General features: G+C 40.1%; 1 protein-coding gene across 19 annotated transcripts in view, besides 2 other annotated features; it reads left to right on the top strand.

Moving 5' to 3' along the window:
• Positions 1-21,276, top strand: part of ANKRD26 (ankyrin repeat domain containing 26) — a 152,913-nt gene that overhangs the window by 17,095 nt on the left and 114,542 nt on the right. For all 19 annotated transcript variants that reach the window (XM_017015929.2, XM_047424821.1, XM_017015928.2 and 16 more), the window contains exons 6-12: positions 567-597; positions 4,239-4,311; positions 5,707-5,767; positions 5,860-6,062; positions 16,114-16,243; positions 16,852-16,913; positions 19,319-19,412. In XM_017015929.2, the coding sequence (XP_016871418.1) occupies positions 567-597; positions 4,239-4,311; positions 5,707-5,767; positions 5,860-6,062; positions 16,114-16,243; positions 16,852-16,913; positions 19,319-19,412 (654 nt within the window). The remainder of the gene's footprint in view (positions 1-566; positions 598-4,238; positions 4,312-5,706; positions 5,768-5,859; positions 6,063-16,113; positions 16,244-16,851; positions 16,914-19,318; positions 19,413-21,276) is intronic.
• Positions 5,214-5,383: an enhancer, noted in NCBI's record as "experimental_11814 CRE fragment used in MPRA reporter constructs". NCBI's record gives its function as "activates a minimal promoter by MPRAs in K562 erythroleukemia cells, with activity observed for both the introgressed and non-introgressed 10:27367031 variant alleles {active_cell/tissue: K562}" and the evidence as "EXISTENCE:reporter gene assay evidence [ECO:0000049][PMID:34662402]".
• Positions 10,347-10,880: an enhancer, noted in NCBI's record as "H3K27ac-H3K4me1 hESC enhancer chr10:27361449-27361982 (GRCh37/hg19 assembly coordinates)". NCBI's record gives its function as "activates a minimal SCP1, AML or CMV promoter by ChIP-STARR-seq in primed H9 embryonic stem cells {active_cell/tissue: H9 hESC(primed)}" and the evidence as "EXISTENCE:reporter gene assay evidence [ECO:0000049][PMID:30033119]".

Here is a 21,276-nt window from a genome sequence, read left to right as displayed (position 1 = left end):
AACTTTTTTATTAGTTTTGCTTAAATTTTTTTTTTCATTTAAGAAATAACATTAAGAGTGCATGGGTTTTTTTTCCTTGTGAAAGCTATCAGTTAAGAGTGCATGTTTAACTAGGAAATATAAACATATTAAGTAAATATTATATTAAGTAAATAACACATTAAGTAAATATGTTTATATTTCCAGGAGTAGTGGAAATGTAAGGCAAAGGCAGAAGAGAGGTACAGTTAATAGGATTTAGTGATTATTGAGTGTAAAAAGTTAGGGGGCAGAGAGAAATCTCAGCTGATTCCTAGGTTTCCAGGTTGTGCACAAGCATTTAAACTGGACATGAGGAGTAGGAAATTGTCAGGTGAGTAGAGAAGAGTGGCAGGTCTGCAGGGAAGATTAACTTTTTTCTATACATGTGAGTATAATGGAATATTTATAGAGGATATTAATTCTATTATAGTCTCCAGATATGGTCCCAGAGGGATACTTTGTAACAAACTATCAGTCTTATGCTTTAAATTTTATATATTTTTCTATTGTTGATTTAAAGTGTGTTTTACTTTTCTCTTTAATAGTGGATGAAAGCTCTGAAGACTCCTTAAGCAGGTAGTATTTTACAGATTTTTAAAAATATATTTAAAGGAATACAGAGAAAAGAAACTGTTGAGTGCCCTACTCTGGGTAGACACCATATTATGTGCTTCTCCATATAGTCGTCCCAACAGCTTTGCAAAGTATCTGTGCTATATTACAACCCAACTGTGTGGTTCAGAGAGGTTGATTAATTGGCCCATGACCTCACAGTGAGCAAGCAGCTGACCCATGATTTGACCATCAGCCTGCTTGGCTCCCAAATCCCTTCTCTTGCCCCTCAGCATAGATTGATAGAGACCTGTGCGGTGCTGGATCAAGGTACAGGTCCAAATCAGATCAATTCAGAGACCTACATTTAGTTCTATGTTAACTCTCAGAGTTTTTCTTAGGAGCCTGGTTAGTCCAACAATTTGTCCTAATATGCTTGATAATTGCAGTGGTAATTAGTACTTTGACTTTATCATCAAAGGTTTTAGGCCAGATCTCACTTAGCTGTGGCCACAGGGCCATACATTTTACATAAGCAGACCACACAAGTCCTATAAAGGAATTATTTTACTGTAAGTGAAAACTATTTACCTATAGACCATATTGTGTTAATTATATTTAGCATCCAGTTAGAGGATATTTCTGGTTTATTTCTCTACCTACTGACTTCCCAGTTTGGTTTTCCCTTTAGGCTAGTACTCTAGCTCCATCTGAGTTGCTGGAAAGGATATGATTTTGTTTCTCTCTCTCCCTTTTTTTTTTTTTTTTTTTTTTTTTAAATAACTGCATAGGGCTGGGCGTGGTGGCTCACAACTGTAATCCCAGCACTTTGGGAGGCCAAGGTGGGCATATCACAAAGTCAGGAGATCGAGACCAGCCTGGCTAACACGGTGAAACCCTGTCTCTACTAAAAATACAAAGAATTAGCCAGGCGTGGTGGCGCACGCCTATAGTCCCAGTACTCAGGAGGCTGAGAAAGGAGAATGGCTTGAACCCGGGAGGCGGAGGTTGCAGTGAGCCGAGATTGCGCCACTGCACTCCAGCCTGGGTGACAGAGCGGGACTCTGTCTCAAAAAAAAAAAGCATAGTATTCCATGGAATATTTATACCACATTTTCTTTATCCAGCCAACTGTGTTCCTATTATTTTTTTCCATTTCTGCCAGCTAAGTATTCCTCATTTTCCTATCAACAGAATCAAAAGCACCTAGAATTTCAGGATTTTAAGGAATCAGACTAATCAGAATGCCATCTAGTACTTCAATCTGTGTTTAACATCTTGGTCAAATGGTTCAGATGGAGAACCTGAAACTCAAAGAGATTAAGGGGATTTATTTGGATATGATATTCAAACTAATTTCAGAGCCCAGTACTCTTCCTTCTTTATCATCCTACAGGTTAATATTTTAATAATAGAAAGGGTGAGTGGATCTAGTGAACCCAGCGGAAAAGGAAAGAATGGAATTAGCAGAGGAAGGCCAGGTTTGAAGAGAAACAGCACTGGGTTGGATAGGAACCGGGCTTTTGGAAAAGAGATCAGAATATTGGGGTTTTTGACAAGTTCGATAATGATAAATTACTGGAATGAAGGATACAGGATGTTTGGAATTATCTAGAAAGGCATATTAAAATAGGGGGTTCAGGGGAGTCCTGAACAGGTTGTTGCTTTTTTATATAATTGGAGGAACTGACAAACTCTCAAGGTTTCTACTGAAAAATGTTAAAATAATTTGAGCCACTGGGAAGAGTCTCTACAGCCAGTAGGAATGTACTATAACTACTTCTGCCTCAACTTATCGGTGGCTTTGAGCCCCTCAAGTACTTTGGAGCTGGAGGCTGCTGAACTACATAGATCTGTGGCCCAGGGCAGGTGTCCCCTCACCTCTGCCTCCTTTCCCAATTCTCTGATGTCCTTCTCATGGACATGTAGGGTAGGGCAGGGGTAGGATTAGCTGGCAAGTCAGTCATGGAGCAACCCAAATCATGGAGTTGGGTAGTTGTTAACATGCCTGTGCTGCTGGCAGATGACAGAGACTCCATTTAGCTTGTTTTCCAGGAGCAGAGATATAGAGAGCTTCTACTCTTGGGCATTTGAGACCATCCTTTCAGGAATTTGTGCCTTCATAGGCTGAAGACTTAAAGGTTGGAGATGCTATGGAGCCCTGCAGAAGAGGGATCTGTAAGTGGGAGCTTATAGGAAGGAAGGTGTTTAGATAGTACTTAGGGAAATATAGGTACAACTACCAGGACTCTTTCTCCAGCATTCTTTCTCTTTAGGTATCTGAGTGCCTGTAAAGATTTTTAAGGGCTTGCTAGTTTAAGGCAGGACCTCTATAGGGAAAATAATTGGATTTTATAACTTTTAATGTTTTAATATTTCTGGGGTGAGTAGTCCCAATAACAGCATATACGTATGTGTTTTGACTTTTGCCCATCTAGCTTTCAAACATTTCACACATTTCAGGGGACTCCTTATACTGTTTTAGGGTGAAGGGAAGCAATGAGGCCTTAAGTGGTTTTCATGTTGAAGAACCAAGACTGCCATTTTTGAGTGACACATATTAGTCTTTGAAATGGAGATAGATAGTGGAGAAAGGACAGTGTATCTTTCTACCTTGTTTTATGTATTTATTTATTTATTTATTTTATTTTATTTTATTTTATTTTTTTTGAGACAAAGTCTTGCACTGTTGCCCAGGCTGGAGTGCTACAGCATGATCTCAGCTCACTGCAATCTCTGCTTCCTGGGTTCACACAATTCTTCTGCCTCCACCTCCCAAGTAGCTGGGACCACAGGTACACACCACCACACCCAGCTAATTCTTTGTATTTTTAGTAGAGACAGAGTTTCACTATGTTGGTCAGACTGGCCTTGAACTCCTGACCTCGTGATCTGCCCGCCTCGGCCTCCCAAAGTGCTGAGATTACAGGGATGAGCCACCGTGCCCAGCCTATTTATTTATTTTTATTTTTTTGAGACAGTGTCTTGCTGTGTCACCCAGGCTGGAGTGCAGTGGCATGATCTCGGCTCACTGCAATCTCTGCCTCCCGGGTTCAAGCAATTCTCTTGCCCCAGCCTCCTTAGTAGCTGGGATTACAGGCACATGCCACCACGCCTGGTTAATTTTTGTATTTTAGTAGAGACAGGGTTTCGCCATGTTGGCCAGGCTGATCTCGAACTCCTGGGCTCAAGTTATCTTCCTGCCTCCGCCTCCCAAAGTTCTGGGATTACAGGCACGAGCCACCGCATCTGATCTCCACCTTGTTTTAGATTATCAGGTTTGTGCTGGTTCAGGTAACGAAAGTTATATCAGCCATTAATTGGATTTTCAGTTCAGCCTTCGGGACAATTTGTGAAGACAAAGTATTCCCAGGTTCTGCCATTATCTTGGCTGTCACTATTAGTTATAGAACTAAGGTTGAGTCTTTATCGAATATTTTATAGTTTCGGAGAGGTAGAGGCAGCAATTGGTAACTAAAATATTTTTCAAAAACAAGATCAAATTTTAATTAGATCAAGAAACATCATTTAATATGCAGACAGTTGACCTTTCACCAGGTTTTTGTTTTTTTGGAGGGGGCATCCAGATTGAAAATTGTAAGCTGGTTTTTGTTTTGTTTTTAAAGAAATGAATTCACTCATTTTTCTATATTTTTGTTCTAAAGGCTTTCTGGCAAACCGGGTGTTGATGATTCATGGCCTACCTCAGATGACGAAGACCTCAATTTTGATACTAAGGTAAAGTGCTCTCTCATGAACTTAATTTTCTTACTCTGAATCTAGTTTCGTATAGTATTCTCTTAAAATTTTGCAGTGGTCTACTTATCATTGTTTTCTGTTTGTAATGGAAAGGTGGTCAGGGGAAGCCATTTTATAGAAATATGGCCAGTTGAATTCTTTTTTTTTTTTTTTTTTTACTTTGGTAAATAACAAAGGATTGATAAGTACTTTGAGGGAGTGGGGATTGCAAAAAAAAGAATATACTGGAAAATACATAGTGACAGGAAAATTATATTGGGAAAAGTTTTCCTACAATAGAGGAAATATGAAATTTGGTCAAAGTTTATATGGATAAGCACTCCTACTATGATTTTAAAATCTTTTTCCATTTTTCTCTCTCTGTAGTAAGAATGTTACAGCTTTCAGGTAGTAGTAGATGATCATTTTTAACTAATTGGATGACTTAAAATTAAACTGTTTACTACAGAAGTATTTTTTAAAAAACTGGTTGTAAATACTAATCAGTATTATCAGGGATATCCTATGAACAAAAGTCTGTTACAGGTCTGTGTTTCTCAGTGTGCCTTAGTATACTTAAAGCCTTTCCTTTTCTTCCTTGACTTAAGCTCACACTCGAATGGTCATGCCTCTATTTTTTTTCTCCCTACTCTTTCATCTTTTAAAAATGATTTATCTCAGCCTAAATGTTTCCTTGCAGAATACATTTCTTCAGTTCTGTTATTTCAGTCCATGTCTGTCTCCATTTGCAGCATATTTAGGTGCAGCTTTCTATTTATGTAGTTATGTGTGGCTTTTGTTCAGCAATCATTGCCCCACAAGGATTATTTTTGTTTTTTTCTCTGTTTCTTGTAAGGAGCTGAATTTATACAATCATTTATTTTTAGCTTTTTGACAGAATAGAAGCAGCCTATACTATTTGCAGTGCCAACCCACTTTCATAAAATATACTAAGAACAAAATGCTCACAGTTTTTCTCACAAGAGGTAATTCATGCAAATATAAATCATGCATACACATTTCAGAAAATAATATGTAATTAATTTAAATGTTTTAATGTTTGACTTTTATAATACTCTACCTAGGAAAAAATTTTCATTTTAGGCTACTGTGGTTAAGAAAATAATCGAACAGATATCATAGTATTTATATAATAATCAATTAGGGGTAAGGGGAGTAACCTTTGGAGGATATCTGTATCATCTCTCATAATCCTTACCCCATGAGAAGATGTAGCAAAGGGCAGAACTGAGGTTTAAATCTACATCTGAGTGACTCCAAAATCTTTGTTCTTTGTGTTAGATCATGTAGTAATGGTGACTATCTATTACGATTATTTTATCAAATTTGATACTTGTTTTTTTAAAACTTGTTATTCTTATTTTTGTTTTCTAGAATGTCCCAAAACCAAGCTTAGCAAAGCTAATGACTGCTTCTCAGCAATCCAGGAAAAATTGTAAGCTGTTTGAAAACTGCTTATTCTTGTGTTATTCACTGATTCTTAATTACATATATTTTCATTTACTCTTTATTTTGTTTTTACTGTAGTAGAAGCAACATATGGCACTGTGAGAACAGGAAATAGAACTTTGTTTGAGGATAGAGATTCCGATAGTCAAGATGAAGTTGTGGTTGAAAGCCTTCCTACAACATCAATCAAAGTCCAGTGCTTTTCTCATCCTACCTATCAATCACCTGACCTTCTTCCAAAACCTTCCCACAAGTCGTTAGCAAACCCTGGTCTTATGAAGGTAAGTTGTTTTTTAAAAAACTTTTTTCATGTACCCTTCCCCTGCCCCAACAATCCTCATAATGATGCATCTATTGAGATGATCATACAGTTTTTGTTTCTAATTATGTTTATGTGATGAATCACATTTAAGACTTGCATATGTTGAACCATCCCTGCATCCTTGAAATGAAACCCACTTGATCATGGTGAATTATTACTTTGTGATGTGCTGTTGGATTCGGTTTGCTAGTATTTTCTTGAGGATTTTTGTATCTATATTCATCAGAGATATTGGTCTGCAGTTTTCTTTTTTTGTTATGTCCTTTTCTGGCTTTGGTATTAGGGTGATACTGGCTTTATAGAATGAGTTAGGGAGGATTTCCCCCTTCTCAACCTTTTGGAGTAGTTTCAGTAGAATTGTTATCAGTTCTTTTTTGAATGTCTGGTAGAATTTAGCTGTGAATCCGTGTGGCCCTGGGTTTTTTTCTTGTTGGCGGTTTTAAAATTACTGATTCAATCTCACTGCTTATTACTGGTCTGTTCAGGATTTCTATTTTTTCCTAATTCAAGCTAGAGGAGTTACGTGTTTCCCGGAATTTTTCAGTTTCCTCTAGATTTTCTAGTTTGTGTGCATAGAGGTTTTTATAGTAGTCTTGAGCTATCTTTTGTATTTCGGTGGTATCAGTTATACTGTCTCCACATTCATTCCTACTTGAGCTTATTTGAATCTTCTCTCTTTTCTTAGTTAATGTAGCTAGTGGTCTATCAACTGTGTATCTTTTAAAAAAAAGCTACTGGGCACGGTGGCTCACACCTGTAATCCCAGCACTTTGGGAGGCCTAGACGGGCAGATCACCTGAGGTCAGGAGTTCGAGACCAGCCTGGCCAACATGGTGAAACTCCGTCTCTACTAAAAATACAGAAAAATTAGCCAGGCATGGTGGTGGGTGCCTGTAATCCCAGCTACTTGGGAGGCTGAGGCAGGAGAATCACTTGAACCTAGGAGGTGGAGGTTGCAGTGAGCCAAGATCACGCCATTGCACTTCAGCCTGGGTGACAAGAGTGAAATTCCATCTAAAAAAAAAAAAAAACCAAACAAACAAAAAACAAACTTTTTGTTTCATTGATCTTTTATATTGTGTTTTTGGTTATAAATACATTTAGCTCTGCTCTGATCTTTGTTATTTCATTTCTTCTGCTAGCTTTGGGTTTGGTTTGTCCTTGTTTCTCTAATTTCCTGAGGTGTGATGTTAGTACTGATTTGCTGTAAGAGGTTTTGATAATTTGTAGCACTGTTATTTATTTCAAAACATTTTAAAATTTCCTTCTTGATTTTATTATTAACTCCGAAATCAGGAGCAGATCATTAAGTTAAATGGGAATTACCATATGTTTGTATAATTTTGAGGGTTCCTTTTGGAATTGATTTCTATGTATTCTGCTGTGGTCTGAGAAGATACTTCATATGATTTCAGTTTTTTAAAATTTATTAAGACTTGTTTTGTGGCCTATCATATGGTCTATCTTGGAGAATGTTCCATATGCCTATTAAAAGCATGTATATTCTGCAGTTCTCAGGTAGAATGTTTGGTAAATATCTGTTAGATTCATTTGTTCTTGAGTGCAGTTTAAGTCCAATGTTTCTTTGTTGGCTTTCTACCTTGATGACCTGTCTAGTGCTGTCAGTGGAGTGTTGAAGTCCTGTACTATTATTGTGTGGCTATCTCTTTTCTTAGGTTTTCTTAGGTCTAGTAGTAATTGTTTTATTAATCTGGGAGCTCTGAAGATAGGTGCGTATATATTTAGGATTCTTAGATCTTCTTGTTGAATCGATCCTTTTATCGTTATATAGTGACAATTTTTATCTACTTTTACTGTTGTTGCTTTAAACTCTGTTTTATCTGATATAGGAATAGCTACTCCTGCTCACTTTTGGTTTCTCTTTGTGTGAAATATCTTTTTCCACCCCTTTATCTTGAGAGTATAGGAATCCTTACATGATAGGTGTGTCTCCTGAAAACAGCAGAGAATTTGGCTTGTGATTTTTAAAAATCCATTCTGCCAACCTGCATCTTTTAAGTGGAGCATTTAGACCATTTACTTCAATGGTAATATTGAGATCTGAGGTACTGTTCCAGTCATTGTGTTGATTGTTACCTAGTGACTTTGTTTCCTCCATTATGTTATTGTTTTATAAACTTTGTGAATTGTATGCTTTCAGAAGTTTCTATTCTGTTATGTATCAACCTTTTATTTCAACATTGAGAACTTTTATAAATATTTCTTGTAGGGCTGGTCTAGTATTGACAGATTCCCTCAGCATTTGCTTGTTCAAGAAAGACTTTATTTTTCCTTCATTTATGAAACTTAGTTTTGCTTGATACAGAATTCTTGGCTGATGATTTTTTTCCTATTTAAGGAGACTATAGATAGGACTCCAGTCCCTCCTGGCTTGTTAAGGTTTCTGCTGAGAAGTCTGCTGTTAGTCTGATAGGTTTTCCTTTACAGGTTATTTTTAAAAATTCTTTTTATTTAATCTTATTTATTTATTTTATTTTATTCTTTTTATTTTTGTCTGATTGGATTAATTTGAAAGCCTTGTCTTCAAACCCTAAAGTTCTTACTTCTATTTGGCATAGCCTACTGTTAAAACTTCCCACTACTTTTTTTCTTTTCCCCCCTCGAGACAGAGTCTCTCTGTCACCCAGGCTGGAGTAGTGTGATCTCAGCTCACTGCAACCTCCACCCCCTGGGTTCAAGCACTTCTCCTGCTTCAGCCCCCCTAGTAGCTAGGATTACAGGTATACGCTACCATGTCCAGCTAATTTTTGTATTTTTAGTAGAGACAGGGTTTCGCCATGTTGGCCAGGGTGGTCTCAAACTCCTGACCTCAAGCGATCCACCCACCTTGGCCTCCCAAAGTGCTGGGATTGCAGCCGTGAGCCACCATGCCCAGCCCCCCACTACATTTTGTAGTTCCCTAAATGTGTCTTTCATTTCCAGAAGTTCTGATTGGTTTTTCTTTAAAATATCTTTCTCTTTAGAAAATTTTTCATTAAGATCCTGAATTGTTTTTAAAAATTTCTTTATGTTGGTTTTTACCTTGCCCTTGTATATTCTTGAGTAACTTAATAATCAACCTTTTGAATTCTTTATCTGGTATTTCAAAGATTTCATCTTGTTTTGTATCCATTGCTGGAGAGTTAGTGTGATCTTTTAGGGGGATTATAGAATGCTGTTTTTTCATATTACCAGAATTATTTTTCTGGTTCCTTCTAATTTGGGTGGACTATTTCTTGTAATTATTTTTGAATTTATTTTTGATTTGACTGGGTTTTTTTTTATTTATTTTTCCCCCCTTGAGGATGTGACTTGAATGTCTATAGTTTATTGTCACCTAGCTTCAGCTCTGGGTGCTTTCAGTAGTGAAGACCTTGTAGTAGTGAGCTCCTTCGTTACAGAGAATCTTTGTGTGATGATTTTCTCAGATGTTGGTAGTAATAACGATGTACTGGGTCTGTGAGCAGGTTTACTGTTTCCTGTGGGACTGGAATGGCAGAAGTCTCACGAATCTTATCTCATTCTCCAGTGTTGTGCACTTAAAAATTCAGATGCCTACTCTGTTTCCTAAAACATTTTTTTCCCCAGTATTTTATTTACTGGATTGAACATTTCAGGCCTCAGGCTGAAGGAGCCCATGGGTAAAAACTGGTTGCAGCTAAAGCAGGTGGATAAATGCAGTACCCCAAGTTTGGCCTTGACAAATGTGGCAGGGGGAGCTCTCAGTGATATGCACTAAAGTGTTTTCAGGGGGAAGGGAGGGAGCCACAGGAAAGCAGTCTGCCTCCCAGTCACACTCTTGACCAGGTGTTCCAGCTAATCAGATCAGACAGGCACCTTTTTTAATCTTCAGGAATACTGATGTTCCATATAGAGAGGGATTGTGGTCCTCATGCAAGCCTGAACGTGGAGGGCAGTCCTGTGGGATGCAGTCACCCTGAAGTGCTTCAGGAAGGCTGTCTACAGATGCACGCACATCATGCTGTCGTGGGAAAAGCCCCAGCTGTGTCTGCAGTGGTGGGCAAGAGGGAGAAGTTCTCTTCTCCAAGACCCTTCACATGCCCCAGGGCTACCTGTTAAGGGAAAGCCTTAGATTTTCTCCACTGAGCCCAGCACTGCACCTGTCCCTCTGCTGAAGGAAACTTCCCACAAGCGGAAGGCCTGCAGTCTGGTTTCTTTTTTTCCCATGGGGTGCCCTCTCAATGTGGTGCATTCCTTCCCCTGGGAGTAGCAGCCCCTGAGAACCTGGCTGCTGTGAATCCTGCTGCTCCTCTGGGTCTAGCCACCCAGTGGGCTGCCATACTCCAGGGTGGTGCTGGGGAATGTCTGCAAGGGATCCAGTGAGATGACCTGTCCTCGAGTCTCCCAGCAGCGGGTACCAGCACCTGCTCTGATAGGGTGGGAAGGGGAATGATGTAGACTCTGTGAGATTTCCTGCATTACAAATAGCCTTTGTGTGTTTTTTCAAATGCCAGCTGTAGTATTAATGTGCTGGGCACATAGACAGTTGCAGGACCTCCTGGTTAGCCAGAAAGATGCAGGCAGTGGTGATTAACTGAAGATGCACAGAAGTTTCCTACTTCCTTGGTGCTGTGTCATTGTGCTTGCAGACGTTGTGATGGGCTGTGCTTGTTGAGTTTTAGCCAGGAGGTGGCGCTTGCAAAAGAGCGCCAGTTGCAGTGGTAGTGGTGGGATTTGATTGCCTTAGGTTACCCAAGGGAAATACTCTGGAGTCTCAGACAATGGTTGGGGCCATGGATCTCCCAAAAGTCCCTGTCCATTGTGTTATGCTACCATGGCAGGTGGAGGGCAAAGCCGGGTGGGGGCTGGGTGAGGCCAGTCCACACTCTGGCTCCCCACATGTGGGTGCAAGCAGTGGAGCGGCCCCATTGGGGATCAGAGGGCAGTTCCCTGGCTGCTAGAGTAGTGTTCCAGGGAGAAGCTCAGCTGCCTCTGCTGCACAAAAGAATCCACAGAAGGAGCTGGGGATATCAGGCAACAGTATGTCTCATGCAGCACGGGCTTGGCAAGGCAGGTCTCACGCCTATAGGGTTCTGCTGGCAGCAGCAAGCTGGATTCCAGTCAGCTTGTGCTTGGAACTCAAAATTGTCCCAGGCCATAAGCCTTCCTGAGGGACAGAAACCGCACTTTCAAGCCATGCCCCTCCTGATCCGCCTGTGGAACAAGGGGCATCCAGCTCCTGCAGCCTGGGCACACTTCTTGTTCACCCTGTGGTTCTGGCCGATGGGGTTATCCCCACTCAAGATGATATGGCAGCTCTCATTTGGGAGCTTCTCTCCACCTGTGATGGCAGCCTGGGTCAGCTGGCTGACTTCCGGCAGGACGCCTGTGAGGTAGGATCAAGAATGGCTTCCCTCTGTCCCTCCTGGAGTCAGGGAATGCATGCAATGTATATGGGGATGCCGCTTTTTCTTGTGTGCCCCCACTGCTCACTCAGTCAGCTCCAGCGCGGGGGGAGTTAGGGCTTCCCCGTGGCCTGGATTGCCGGGCTTCCCAGTGGAAGTGTGTTCCAGGGACCATCTCTCCCGTTCACACTCTAGAGGCTCACGATTTTCTACCTGGTTCATCGTGTACACTGCTGCCCGCCTGTTCTTTCACAGGGTCTCTGGTTTCTTTAAGTTTTTCTGTTAAGGTCCTGTGTTGCTTCTTGGAAAAAAGTTTGCAGCGCAAATCCCTACACACTATTTTGCCTTTCCAAGAGGGAGAGTCTTGGTCACAGTGCCTCCCATCTGTCATCTTGGGAAAAAAATTAGGGAAAATTAATTTTAGTATAAGCATTGTTAGAGAAATGAATGTAGTCCCGGCCGGGTGTGGTGGCTCATGCCTGTAATCCCAGCACTTTGGCAAGCCGAGGCGGGCGGATCACGAGGTCAGGAGATCGAGACCATCCTGGCCAACACGGTGAAACCCCGTCCCTACTAAAAAAAAAAAAAATACAAAAAATTAGCCGGGCTTGGTGGCGGGCGCCTGTAGTCCCAGCTCCTCGGGAGGCTGAGGCAGGAGAATGGCGTGAACCTGGGAGGCAGAGCTTGCAGTGAGCCGAGATCGCGCCACTGCACTCCAGCCTGGGCGACAAAGCGAGACTCTGTCTCAAAAAAAAAAAAAAAAAAAAAAAATGAATGTAGCAATTGTTTATTTCTGCAATATTCTGATTTATCTTGTGCTAATAATTAATATCTGTATGTAATGGACACATACGCATACACCAAATGAAAGCGGTCAAAATTTATTATTGTTTTCTAAAATAAACTACCTATTATAGAATCATAAGGAAGGAAAGATTGCCAAGGGAGTTTACAAAATTATCTCTAGGCTGGACATGGTGGTTCACACCTGCAATCCCAGCACTTTGGGAGGCCAAGGCGGGCAGATTATGAGGTCAGGAGTTCGAGACCAGCCTGGCCAATATGGTGAAACCCTGTCTCTACTAAAGATACAAAAAATTAGCCGGGCGTGGTGGCACGTGCCTATAATCCCAGCTACTCAGGGGGCTGAGTCAAGAGAATTGCTTGAACCCAGGAGGTGGAGGTTGCAGTGAGCCAAGATCGTGCCATTGTACTCCATTCTGGGCGACAGGGCGAGACTCCATCTCAAAAAAAAAAAAAATCTCTAGAAGATGATTTTTTACTTTTAAAAGTACCTCCAGCAATGAGGACATTTTATATTCTCGTCAGGAAGCTTTGTTAACTTTAGTATTCATAGTTGTTAAACCTTGCTCATAAATTCATTCATCTCTAAAACTCAGAATCCTGTTGACTTGATTTTTTAGTCCTTTTCTGTGTGTGAATACTGGTCTTGCTTGATAATCATAGATATATTTGAAGACTTTTAAATCTTCAACTTGGATAATCATAGCTTTCTTTTCTTTTGTTTTTTGAGACGGAGTCTTGCTCTGTCGCCTAGGCTGGAGTGCAGTGGCGGGATCTCAGCTTGTTGCAACCTCTGCTTCCTGGGTTCAAGCAGTTCTTGTGCCTCTGCATTCTGAGTAGCTGGGACTACAAGTGTGTACTACCAAACATGGCTAATTTTTGTATTTTTAGTAGAGATGGGGTTTTGCTATGTTGGCTGGTCTTGAACACCTGGCCTCAAGTGATCCGCCCACCTCAGCCTCCCAAAGTGCTGGGATTACAGGCATGAGCCACCACGCCTGGCCTTTTTTTTTTTTTTTTTTTTTAAATACAGAGTCTCTGTTACCCAGGCTGGAGTGCAGTGGCATGATCAAGGCTCACTGAAGCTTAAATCTTCTGGGTCTGGCTTCAGCTTCCCAAGTAGCTGGGACCATGGGCATGCACCACCATGCCTAGCTATTTATTTATTTTTTGTAGAGATGGGGTCTCGCTATATTATCCAGGCTGGTTTTGAACCACTGGGCTTAAGTGATCCTCCAACCTTGACCTCCCAAAGTGCTAAGATTGCAGGTGGGGCCCACTGCACCCATCCTCAAATGTTGAAATATGTAATTGAAACCTTAAATCCCATGTTTTTTTCCCTCTTTGTCTTTTCATTTTCAAAATTTCAGAGTTCTGTGTAGGTTCATATTATTTAATTCTACCAGTTTAGTGTATTTTACAAATATTTATCTACTTAAGACCATATGCTTTTCCTGAGGTCATCTACTTCTACTCTAAACGTATTTATCCAAATCTGTCTTCTAAATCCCCTGGGTAGGCGGGGTCCAGTGGCTCACGCCTGTAATTCCAGCACTTGGGAAGGCGAAGGCTGGTGGATCACTTGAGCTCAGGGGTTGGTGACCAGCCTGGGCAACACAGTGAAACCTTGTCTCTGAAAAAAAAACCACCAAAAACCTAAGTTCCCTGGGTGCCTCAAATTTTATATTAATATGTCCCAAACTGTGGACATTGTTCCTGACGCTTTCCTGATTCTTTGTAATTTACTCAGTCCTCTGGTTTCCCCATCCTAGTAAATAACACCTAGGAAGTAGCACTGAAACATTGAAGCAGGAGAAATCTTGCACTCCAGTTTTCCCTCAAATTACGAATCCAGTCACTCACCAAGTTCTTTATTTTCTACCTGCTTATCATTTCTCATATCCTTTTTTTTTTTTTTTTTTTTTTTTTTTTGAGACGACGTCTCACTCTGTTGCCCAGGTCAGAGCGCAATGGCGTCACCTCTGTTCACCGCAAGCTCTGCCTCCTGGGTTTAAGCAATTCTCCTGCATCAGCCTCCCGAGTAGCCAGGATTACAGGGCATGTGCCACCACACCCAGCTAATTTTTGTGTTTTTAGTAGAGACAGGGTTCCATCATATTGGCCAGGCTGGTCTCGAACTCCTGACATCATGATCCGCCCACTTCTTGGCCTCCCAAAGTGCTGGGATTACAGGTGTGAGCCACCGCGCTGCGCCCGACCTCGTTTCTCATATCTTATTATTGCAATTCACTTTTTTTTTTTTTTTAGGATGCCCAAAGAAAATGTGACAGTTCACTTTCTGACCTGTAATTTTGGAATAATCTTCTCTATTTTTGTCCTGACCACTCCCCCAACCCCCATGTTTATCTATGTTTACATTGCTGCCAGGGTGACCTTTCTGAAATGTATCTGTGATGCTCTAACTCACCTGCTTACTGACTGGATCCCCAGTACATGAAAGGGAAAGTTCACATTCTAGCATAACACAGGTCCTTGGTGGTTTGGCCTGATTTTTCTGTTTTTTCTCCTCATCCTGTTCCCTCTGACTGTGTTCCAGTTTTACCACATTACTTTGGTACCCTCATTTGTCGTGTTGTTTCATGCCTCATCCTTTTGTTTATGGTGCCCTGTCTAGAAACCTTTTACATTCCCACTCTGCATGTATTACTCTGTTGTCACATTGCTAAAAAGAAATACCCCAGACTGGGTAATGTATAACAGAAAGAGGTTTAATTGACTCTCAGTTCCTCATGGCTGGGGAGGCCTCAGGAAACTTACAATCATGGTGGAAGGCAAAAGGGAAGCAGGCACCTTCTTCACAAGGCCGTAGGAGGTGAATTAATGTATGAGGAACTACCAAACACTTGTAAAACCATCAGATCTCATGAGAATTCACTCACTATCATGAGAACAGCATGGGGGAAACCACCGCATGATCCAGTTATCTCCTCTGGTGTCTCCCTTGACACATGAGGATTACAATTCAAGATGAGATTTGGGTGGGGACACAGAGCCAAACCATATCACTGCACTGGGTCTACCTCATAGTATGGCCCTATCTTTGCATCATTTCCTGAGCTTCCCAGGTGGAACTTACTGTTCTCTTTTGTGCCCTTACTGTCCTTTATTCACCTCGGTTGTAGAACTAGTGAATTATACTTTTCTGTTCTTACTTGGTTTTATTTATCTCTACCCGCACTTGATGAATATAGGACAGAATCTGTCTTCTGTTTATATTTTTAGTTTTTCCCAGGATAGTGCCTATGATGTGATAGACACATAAGTGCTTATTGTCTTACTGACTGGTATAGTTTGGAAGTGTGTCCTGCCCCAAATCTCATATTGAAATGTAATCCCCAGTGTTGGAGGTGGGACCTGGTGGGAGTTGATTGGATCACAGGGGCAGATTTCTAGTGAATGGTTTAGCACCATCCCCATTGGTCCTGTCCTTGAGATAGCAAGTGAGTTCTCATGGGATCTGCTTCTTTAAAAGTGTGCAGCACCTCCCCACCTTGCTCTCTTGCCCTGGCTCTGCCATGTGAGACACCTGCCCCCTCTTTGCCTTCTGCTGTGATTATAAGCTTCCCGAGGCCTCCCCAGAAGCAGAAGCTGCTATGCCTCCTATACAGCCTGCAAAACCATGAGCCAGTGAAACCTCTTTTCTTCATAAATTACCCCGTCAGGTGTTTCTTTAAAAAAAAAAAACTATGCCCCCATCTTGGATGACCAGGTATTTCTTTATGGTAGTGCAAGTACGGACTAATACAGTGATTGAATGGGTAAGTGAATAAATACAGTGTTTTCTGAAGTTTTTTGTTTGTTTGTTTTTGTTTTTAATAGGAAGAACCAACAAAGCCAGGCATTGCAAAAAAAGAAAATGGTATTGATATTATTGAAAGTGCTCCACTAGAGCAAACAAATAATGACAATTTGACTTATGTTGATGAAGTGCACAAAAATAATAGAAGTGGTAAGTTAGTGGATATCTCTGAATATTTTTCTATCCTTAAGTTCTATTCTGGGGTCCAGATGTGGCTCACACCTGTGATCCCAGCACTTTGGGAGGCTGAGGCAGGTGGATCACCTGAGGTCAGGAGTTCGAGACCAGCCTAGCCAACATGATGAAACCCCATCTCTACTAAAAATACAAACATTAGCTGGGTGTGGTGGTGCGTGCCTATAATCCCAGGTACTCGGGAGGCTGAGGCAGAGAATTGCTTGAACCTGGGAGACAGAAGTTGCAGTGGGCTGAGATTGCGCCACTGCACTCCAGCCTGGGCATCAGAGCAAGACTCTGTCTCAAAAAAAAAAAAAAATCTATTCTAAGACAACCAATTAACATATGCAGACCCAAATATTATATTCATTTTAAAAATATTTTTCTTTTGCTGTCTTTCTTCATATTACCAATTTTTTCCTGAGACTGCATCAACCTTGTGAAATTCTTTTTTTGCTATTATTTTTATTTTATTGAAATATTCATGAATGGAGATAGACTTGTATATGTATTTAATTATGTATTTAAAATTTACAATAGTAAATGTTCTCATGAATATATCTGTGTATCACATTTGATAGATATGATGTCCGCATTAGGATTAGGACAAGAGGAAGATATAGAATCACCTTGGGATTCTGAGGTACTTTCTATGGTTGTTACTATTATTTTAAAATATAAGCATTGAGTGATGTTAAAACATAAAGAGATGCTTTGACTTGACTTTTTTACCTCTGCATACATCCATAAGGAACTACTTTCTTATATTTTTCAGTTCATAATTAATAAAGTATGTGCTAAGTATATTACTGCTGCATAGTATAATTCTGCTAATTTGCAGGATTCATTTAAGAATCCAGTGAAGGATAGTGCAAAAAAAAAAAGAAAAGAAAAGGCTTAGAAGTCACATGGAATCAGTATGGGTTCTGAAGTTAAGTTTATCTAAAAACTAAAGAATTATTTCAGGTCGGCCAGGCAAGGTGGCTCATGCCTGTAATCCCAGCACTTTGGGAGGCCGAGGCTGGCGGATCATGAGGTCAGGATATGGAGACCATCCTGGCCAACATGGTGAAGTCCCATCTCTACAAAAATACAAAAAATTAGTTGGGTGTGGTGGCGTGTGCCTGTAGTCACTACTCGGGAGGCTGAGGCAGGGGAATCGCTTGAACCCGGGAGGCAGAGGTTGTAGTGAGCTGAGATCGCGCTGCTGCACTCCATCCTGGCAACAGAGCAAGACTGCATCTCAAAAAAAAAAAAAAAAAAAAAAAAAGAAAGAATTATTTCAGGTTAGCCTATGGCCAAGTGTATGATTCTGTGTTATGTATGGATGAGTAAACGGCCTAATGAGATTCAGAGAGAAACAGTTTGGAATGTAGTTTTTTTTGTTTTTTTTTTTTGTTTTTTGACAACTTAGAACTTGAAAAGATAATGCCTGGTACTTTAAAGTATTAATATATATTTGTATAGATCTGCAGGGAACATTTCAGGAGAAAGAAGAATATGGAAAATAATAACAATTTGGTTGAGTGGTAGTGTAATAAGTAGAAATGATTTTCAAAATCATTTCCAGTGACAATAAATATTCAGGGTACTTTTTGTAAACGTGAAGGCAGTAGTGTCAAGAAAAGAAAGGGAAAGTTGGAACAGGAATGTGGATTTCTAATTTGGGGTATAAGTTTCAGTAGACAGTTACTGGAGATATCCTATAGGAATATAGTGAATTGACGCTTGAGACCTTCCCAATGAGATTTTAAATGTTTGAACTTGAATAAATTTCTGTTTATTGAGTACCAACCATGTGCTAGGCTGTTAGACACCGCATATACAAGGTGGGGGCTTATGCTCTACTAGTAGGAACTGAAAAACAAGTAAACCACAAACACTTATAAGTCACTATAAGTGCTTCATATGAAGAAAACAAAGTATTAGGTTAGAGAAAATTGAGGGAGTTTGTAGTTAGGATGGGGATCAAAATGGGAGTGAAATTCTGTAGTCAGAGAAGATCTTTCTGAGTGTGACCTTAGATTGCCAACTAAAGGAAGAGAAGGAGCAGCCATCCGAAAGGCTAGAAGGAGGGCATTCTGGGCAGAGGGCACAATCTTCAAATCTGTTCATCATTTTGCTTTTAACATCTTAGAATGACCAAGAAGCAGGAAGCGGGGTAACCATCATCACCATCATTTTTATTATTATAGGGCATAGAAAAGAAAATGTGCAAATAAGTGCCTGGCACATTTCACATGCTTAATACATAAATGTTCTTATTCTTCTATTTTTATGAAGGCTTGCTATACTTTTTTGAAATTATTTCTTAATTGGGAGAGTTTGTATTCTGTATCTTGTATTTCCTTGCTTTTCTTTAGACATAACATAAAGCAAAATTTTTCTTACTGCTTTCTCATTTTAGTCAACCATTTTCCTATCAGTAAAAGTTGTATCAAAAAGTATTTAGATTTTTCTAAGCCATTGTTTACTTAAATGAAGCAGCTTCTGCAGTGTTCTATTTATACTTAACAGGGCATACTCCAGAGTTTCTTATCATGCCACATATCTTAACACTAAATATTTCTATAATTAGAAATATTTTAAATGTTTAACGCTGTACTATAGCAAGTGTATTCTATTTTTTAAAATACACTTTTTTTTCCCTCTTAATCAGGCATCCCCCGAACCGGAATAAGTTCAGAGAAGCTCCCCTCTTATTTTTGGTGGGGAATACAAAGTAGAGTTAGGTCTTTTGATATTAGTTCCTTGTTGAACTGTGCGCGTAAGTTAATATTTTGTCTGTTAATATGTGTCCTTGGGACTTCCATGTTTGGTTTGCAGAGTCAATAGCCATCTGAAGATGAAAAGATAAGCTTAATCTAGTGAGCATATATGAGGTTCTTTATTGAAATGTTTTGGTTTTCAATACATGCTTATCTTATTTTTAAGCCTAATTGCTTTTAAAATAGGAAATTCATATTATATTTGAAAGTGATTAGAAAATCTTTAGCAATTCATTCTTTTTGTAAAATTGAAACTCATTATTGATACTAATTTTAACAGAGTATCTCTGAGAATTTTCCACAGAAGTATGTTGATCCTTTAGCTGGGGCTGCAGACGGAAAAGAAAAAAATATAGGAAATGAACAAGCAGAAGGTAAGAGCTATATTTCATTTTTAAAAAGCCATTGGACAGAGTGTTTATTTAAAAACATGACTGTTGATATATTCTAATAGCCGAAGAAAATCACCTATTAAATGCATAGTAAGAATAAAGAGAGGTAAAATTGTGATAAGTTGTATATCTTAGGTGTCAGCAACAGATTAAATTGCTAGTGCCACTAAGGGAACTGAATTATTAGATCCATTTCAAAATACATTAAGACCTGAGGGAGCCAGGAAATAAGGAAGAGGAGAGGAGTAAAAGAGGACATGAGAGTGAGGAAGGCAGAGAGTACAGGGAGTGAATGAAGGGCAAAGAAGCAAGTGTATGTAATGGAGAGTGGTAAAATAAAATAATTCTAGGGCCAGGCGCGTGGCTTATGCCTGTAATCCCAACACTTTGGGAGGCCGAGGCGGGCAGATCACTTGAGGTCAGGAGTCCGAGACCAGCCTGGCCAACATGGTGAAACCCTGTCTCTACTAAAAATACAAAAATTAGCTGGGTGTGGTGGCACGCACCTGTAATTCCAGCTACTTGGGAGGCTGAGGCAAGAGATTTGTTTGAACCTGGGAGGTGGAGGTGGCAGTGAGCTGAGATCACGTCACTGCACTCCATCCTGGGCAACAGAGCAAGACTTCATCTCAAAAAAATAAAAATTAAAAAATAAAATAAAATAATTCTTTAGAAAATGGAAAAGCAGGGTATTAGAAAGGTAGGAAGAGTTTAAAATGAGCTTCCAGTACCAAAACTTGTCAGAGAAATAGAGCAAAATTTACCCACTCTTCCCATCCACCTCACTGTTGGGAAGGCAAGGATGGAGGTACTGGACCATCTATGGCACATTTCATCTGCTGTAGATGAATACAGGCATATGTGGTCAGCCATACATATCTAGAATTTAATGTCATAGAAAATGTTACATCAGGCTGGGCACGGTGGCTCACGCCTGTAATCCCAGCACTTTGGAAGGTAGATCACCTGAGGTCAGGAGTTCGAGATCAGCCTGGCCAACATGGTGAAACCCCGTCTCTACTAAAAATACAAACATTAGCCAGGCATGGTGGCATATGCCTGTAATCCTAGCTACTTGGGAGGCTCAAGTATGAGAATCACTTGAACCCAGGAGACGGAAGTTGCAGTGAGCCGAGATTGTGCCACTGCACTCCAGCCTGGGCAACAGAGCAAGATTCTGTCTCAAAAAAAAAAAAAAAGAAAGAAAGAAAGTGTTACTTCATAGGATAGTATCTCAAAGGCCAAAAGAAAAGAATTGGAAAGAAGAGAGTAGGGTTGGTTATGGAGAGATCAAGGAAGCCATACTATGATTAAAAGCCCACTAGCAACTTTATGACTTGCAATACAATTTCAGTTTGGGGGACATAGTAGGGAGGAGCTTGACACCAGATTCCAAGAGGGCAATCTAACATAAAAGAATGTGGAAGCAAACTAAGTATGGACCAGAGCTTCTTAAAATTTAATAAATCAGCTGGGGATCTTGTTTAAAATGTACATTTTGATTGAGCAGGCCTGGGGTTCTGCATTTCTAGTAAGTTCCCACATAATGCTGATGCTTCTGGTCCTTGGACCACACTCTGAGTAACAAGGGTATAGACTTCCTTTTTGAGAAATCTGAAAGAAGCGTCATTGGACAATAATTCAAGGCATAACAGGATCAGAATAAAGCATTATTTTTCTTTTATTTCTGAGCATGTTTCTTCCAGAGGAGAAGAAACAAAGAGATGGAGAAATAGAAATTGTAGATATAAGATAACTATTGTTAAATGAAGAGGAAAGAAGTGCTGAGAATGTTCCATAAAAAGAATATAGAATGGGAAGAATCAAGACCACAGATCTGGAGATT

The sequence above is a fragment of the Homo sapiens genome, chromosome 10, assembly GCF_000001405.40.
Source record: "Homo sapiens chromosome 10, GRCh38.p14 Primary Assembly".
In the NCBI taxonomy this organism is placed as follows: Eukaryota; Metazoa; Chordata; class Mammalia; order Primates; family Hominidae; genus Homo; species Homo sapiens.
Note: the sequence above shows the minus strand (reverse complement) of the source record. Positions and strands in the feature narration are given on the sequence as shown.